Below are 6000 nucleotides of genomic sequence, written 5' to 3'. Positions count from 1 at the left end.
GCAAGTTTGCTCTAACATAGAACAATGCCATCAAATATATTTGGTGGTCCTAAAAGTCACACCGTGAGGACAGGCACCCAGAGCACAGTTGCATTTAGAATAAACTCCAAGCTCCTTCACGCAGCCTGCAGGCCGGTATGGTCTGGCCCTGCCTCTGTTCCCGGTCTCATCTCCCGACCCCACTGGCCTCTCTGCCCCTCAGGCAGACGGTTTTTTCAGTCCTGGAAGGCACCCAGCCCTGTCCATCTTGGTGACCCCAGGTGGGCCATTCTGCTCCTAATGTGCTTTGGGCGCCCCTGCAGCCTGGTTCACATCCTTTCACAATTCAAAGCTTGGTTCTGGGGCCTCTCCTGGCTTCCCCCATCCCCATCTCAGTTAAAGCCCCTCTGTTATTCTCTTTCACAGCCCTCTACCTTTTCTGAATAATACGTCCCCCAATTTATAATGATACACTTTGCTTATCTATTTGGCATCTGTGTCCCCCACTGGAGGGATATGGGCAGGGTGACATGTGTTTTGCTCCTCTCTGGTGCTCCCCTCCTTGGTGTTCTTTTGTTCACATCTCCCTGTTTCATCTGCTCCAGCCCAACTTGTTCCCAGTCCCATCAGCTTCCAACCTCATGGTTCAAATCCAATGTATAGTCTCTCTTTGCAACCCCCAAATAGTGTCTCCAGCTGTGAATTCTGTTTCTCTCCTCTAATAGGGGGCAGTCTCCTCCCTGCTTTTTTTTTTTTTTTTTTTTGCTTCAGCTGGGAGGTGAGCAGCCCCATCTGTTCCCACCCAGGCTGGCCCTAAGCAGCAGTCTCTACACTGCCGCCGAAGAAGTTCCTGCAGACTTCTCCCCGCCCCTAGAATCAAACACATCCACTAACATCAAGCTTGAGCCACAAAGTTCCAGAGGTACCTCTGGGTTGCTGGGAGGAGCAGCAGTAACTTAATGCTGGTGTCTGGGGTGCAGAGGAGAGAGGGCCCCACTCTGAGCTCACAGAGTGCTGGAGGTTCAGGCTGTGGAACACCGGAACACAGATGTTCCCCAGGAGCCTAGATGCCCACTCAAACCTTCTTAGGCACTTTTGAATCTTCTTTTTTTTTTTTCTTTTTGAGACGGAGTCTCGCTCTGTCAACCAGGCTGGAGTGCAGTGGCGCTATCTCGGATCACTGCAAGCTCCGCCTCCCAGGTTCACGCCATTCTCCTGCCTCTGCCTCCCGAGTAGATGGGACTACAGGCGCTCACCACCACGCCCGGCTATTTTTTGTATTTTTAGTAGACACAGAGTTTCACCGTGTTAGCCAGGATGGTCTCGATCTCCTGACCTCGTGATCCGCCCGCCTCGGCCTCCCAAAGTGCTGGGATTACAGGCGTGAGCCACCGCGCCCAGCCGGCACTTTTGAATCTTTACAGGTCCCACCATCTTGGGTGAGGCAAAGTACAGTTTACCTTCATTATTCACAGTAGTTATGTTCTATAAAGCTGGCTGGAGGCCAAGGGCAGTGGCTCACGCCTATAATAGCAGTACTTTGGAAGGCTGAAGTGGAAGGATCATTTGAGGCCGGGAATTTGAAAGCAGCCTGGGCAACATATTGAGACCGCATCTACACAAAAGAAAATTTGTTTTAATTGGGCAGGCATAGTGGCCCATGCCAGTAGTCACAGCTGCTCAGGAAGCTGAAGCAGGAGGATCTCTTGAGCCCAGGAGTTCAAGGTTACCGTGAGCTATGATCACACCACTGCACTCTAGCCTGGGCAACAGAACAAGACTGTCTCTAAAAAAAACAAAAGCTCAACCAAGAGCGTCTCTGATATTTAAATAACGATTGTAGAGAACTTTATAGTTCTTAACACATTTGCATGCATGTGTGTGTGTGTGTGTACACATATATGGCTAAATTAACAGCAGATCCTCAAGACTAACCACAGTAAACAAATTGCCATGATGCCTTTTCCATGAGAACTGCTTTGTACACCCTGGCAATCCATCAGAACAGAAGCCAAAGCCCCAGTGTGCCCTTTTGTACTCTGTACTCCAGCTCACCTGCTGCTTCCCAGCTCACCTGTTTTCCCAAAGTTACAGACAGAGGACAGACAACATTGTTAAACTCTAGAGTGATTCCCATGGGCAGGGCAGGGCAGCGGGAGTGAGTAGGAGGGTGTTTTCTTCAAGTTGAAGGAGAGGAAAGAAAAAATATCCAGCTGTAGCAATCAGATTGTCGGCACCAAAGACAGAGTGACTCAGGGCAGGTCCTTGGCAAGCAGGCACTGAGCCAGGCTGGGCCCACACCCTGGAGAATGAGAATAGCATTCTGTGATCAAAGTGGGAAGGAATGCATCCATTCCGGAAACCAGGTGAGGCAGGGTTGTCATTAAGACAATCTGGGCAGAGCTGTGATTACAGAGGGAGCAAGCTGACGGGATGAAAACGGAAATCCACAGCGCCTGCTCCCTGCTGAGCAGCCCAGCTTGCCCATGCTGCCCTTTGGTCCAGCTAATGTCTCTGGGCAGTGATAAGGCCTTAAGTATCTGTGGATAAAGCACCTGATAGTTAACTAAAAATAATAATAATTTCAAAGTTTTGTTGAGTGAGCTTTAGTATTATATGAACTATCAGTCCTCATTCTTTTTCTCATTAATTAGGATGGATGTTCTAACAAGAGAAATTTTATATAACTAAAGAAGACACTTTTTTTTTTTTTTGAGATGGAGCCTATGTCACCCAGGCTGGAGGGCAATGGCGCGATCTTGGCTCACTGCAACCTCTGCCTCCCGGGTTCAAGCGATTCTCCTGGCTCAGCCTCCCAAGTAGCTGGGACTACAGGCATGCGCCACCACACCTAGCTAATTTTTTTTATTTTTTATTTTTTATTTTTTGAGACCGAGTCTCGCTCTGTCGCCCAGGCTAGAGTGCAGTGGCGCGATCTCGGCTCACTGCAAGCTCCGCCTCCCGGGTTCACGCCATTCTCCTGCCTCAGCCTCCCGAGTAGCTGGGACTACAGGCGCCTGCCACCACACCCAGCTAATTTTTTTGTATTTTTAGTAGAGATGGGTTTCACCGTGTTAGCCAGGATGGTCTCCATCTCCTGACCTCGTGATCCGCCCGCCTCGGCCTCCCAAAGTGGTGGGATTACAGGCGTGAGCCACCGTGCCCGGACTAATTTTTGTATTTTTAATAGAGACGGGGTTTCACCATGTTGGCCAGGCTGGTGTCAAACTCCTGACCTCAAATGATCCGACCACCTCGGCCTCCCAAAGTGCTGGGATTACAGCTGTGAGCAAGAAGACACATTTATTAAAGAAAACTTAGAAACCCCTGTAAACATTCAGAAGAAAATTATAGTCATTTCTAATCCAATCACTCCTATGTGATGACCCTTAACAGTTGTGCTGTGATTCTTCAGATTTTCTTCTAGGCATGTATATATAACATTTGTTTCTTATTTTAAAAATAAATCATGATGCATAAACTATTTTGTTACTTGAGTTTTTTCACTCAATCAAATGTAACATACTTCTTTCTTACCAAAAAAAATTCTCCTACAGTGTGGTTCTTTGTGTCTGTGGGGTACTTCATTGCACGGTCCTTTTGTTAGTTATTTAATCTGTTTCCTGTTCTTACACGTTTAGTTGCTTCCAAACGTGGAATATTATAAATGCTGTACTATACATCCTAGTTCACATATCTTTCCAAACATGTCTGCTTATCTCCCTCCTTCAAGATGAATTGTTGGGTCAAGGAGTTTTCATGTATTTGTGGCTTATGATATTCACTGCTAAATGACCTTGCTCTACAGGCTAGTCGTACCATTTACATCACCACCGTGTAAACGGTCCTTTTTCCTCTCATCCTCGCCTGCAAAAGGTTTTGCCCTGCTAGCCAACGAGTTGAACTGTGTGATAGGAAGAACCGTGATTTGTTTTCTTTTTGATTTCTTAAATGTTTAGTGAAACTGAATATGATTTCATACATGCATTAGTTTCCTCAGGCTGCTCTAACAAAGTGTGACAAGCTGCGTGGCCTAAAACAACAGATATTGATGGTCTCACCTCTGAAGATGGTAGGGAAGGATCTGCTCCCGCCTCTCTCCTGGCTGCAGGTAGCCTCAGCTGTCCCTTGGCTTGCAGGGCTGTCTTCTCTCTGTGCCTCTTCACGTGTCTTCCCTCTGTGCCTGTCTGCCTCTGTCCAAATGTCCCCACTCTATAAGGACACCCAGTCACAATGGATTAGAGACCACTCTATGACCTCAGTTTAACTAGAATATAAATTAATCCAAGTGTACAGGCCCTATTTCCAAATAAGATCACAGTCTGAAGTACTAGGGGTTGGGACTTCAACATATCTTTTTAGGAGGACAAAGCCTTCTCCAACGATATGCTTATTAGCCATTCCTATTTCTTTTTCCTTTGGTGAATTGCCCACTTCTCTTTTTTTTTTTTTTTTCTTTGAGACTGAGTCTTGCTCTGTCACCAGGCTGGAGTGCAGTGGCTCGATCTCTGTTCACTGCAACCCTGCAACCTCCACCTTCAGGTTCAAGCAATTCTCCTGCCTTGGCCTCTCAAGTAGCTGGGACTTCAGGCTCATGCCAGCACGCCCAGCTAATTTTTTTTTTTTTTTTTTTTTTTGTATTTTTAGTAGAGACGGGGTTTCACCATGTTAGCCAGGATGGTCTTGATCTCTTGACCTGGTGATCCGCCCGCCTCAGCCTCCCAAAGTGCTGGGATTACAGGTGTGAGCCACCTTGCCCGGCTAAATTGCCCACTTTTCTATTGAGTTTTTTGCCTTTTTCTTTAATTGGTAGAAACACTTTGTTATCATTCTTTTATCAGACACATATGTTACAAATGTTTTCCCAGTTTGTGAAGAACAAGGGTTTTTTAATTTTTGCATATCCATATTTTTCTGTTTTATTTCTCTCCTTTATGTCCTACTTAGAATCATCCTGCCTCAAGATTATAAGAACAGTTTTGCCTGTGTTTCCCCTAGCACTTTTTTGTTATGTTTCTAAATTTCAAATCTGGAGTTTATTTTGACATGAGACTTAGATCACTTTTTCCCCAAATGGCCAGCCAGTTGTTCTAATATGTTGATTGAGTGACTCCTCTTTTTCCTTGGTGATTTGAAGCCATCTTTATCTTTTATTAAATCCCTATATATATATTTGAATCTATTGTGAGCTCGTTATTCATTTGTAAATATTTTTCTCTATGTCTATTGCCATACTATACTTTATAATACATTTTAATATTTAAGGTAGATATTCTTTATCATATTCAAGGAAAACTTTCCATCCTTAATTTATTAGGTAATTTCGCCAAAACACATTTGTATCAAATGCCTTCTTACCATATCTGTAGATAATGACGTCATTTTTCTCATTTATTTATTCAACAAATATGTCTTGAACACCAACTATGTACCAGGCCCTACGCTGAGTACTAAATACAACAGTGAGCAAAATAGACATGGTCCCTGCCTTCATGATGCTTATTGCAATCTAGTGGAGGACACAGATGTTAGTCAAATAATCCCATAAAAAAGGTAAAAGTACGGCCGGGCGTGGTGGCTCACGCCTGTAATCCCAGCACTTTGGGAGGCCAAGGCGGGTAGATCACCTGAGGTCAGGAGTTCAAGACCAGCCTGACAACATGGAGAAACCCCGTCTTTACTAAAAATATAAAATCAGCCGGGCGTGGTGGCTCACACCTGTAATCCCAGCAGTTTGGGCAGCCAAGGCAGGCAGATCACTAAGTCAAGAGATCGAGACCATCCTGGCCAACATGGTGAAACCCTGTCTCTACTAAAAATACAAAAATTAGCTGGGCATGGTGGTGTGCGCCTGTAGTCCCAGCTACTCAGGAGTCTGAGGCAGGAGAATTGCTTGAACCCAGGAGGCAGAGGTTACAGTGAGCCGAGATCATAACACTGCAATCCAGCCTGGCGACAGAGCAAGACTCCATCTAAAATATATATATATATATATATATATATATATATATAAATCAGCTG

The 6000-nt window shown here is 45.3% G+C and overlaps 1 annotated feature.

Moving 5' to 3' along the window:
• Window positions 1320–1614: a silencer, noted in NCBI's record as "tiled region #10868; K562 Repressive non-DNase unmatched - State 21:Repr". NCBI's record gives its function as "represses a minimal TATA promoter and a strong SV40 promoter by Sharpr-MPRA in K562 cells {active_cell/tissue: K562}" and the evidence as "EXISTENCE:reporter gene assay evidence [ECO:0000049][PMID:27701403]".

Source organism: Homo sapiens, chromosome 2 (assembly GCF_000001405.40).
Source record: "Homo sapiens chromosome 2, GRCh38.p14 Primary Assembly".
Lineage (NCBI taxonomy): Eukaryota > Metazoa > Chordata > Mammalia > Primates > Hominidae > Homo > Homo sapiens.
The sequence above is the reverse complement of the archived record's forward strand: the minus strand, read 5'-3'. Positions and strand labels throughout refer to the sequence as shown.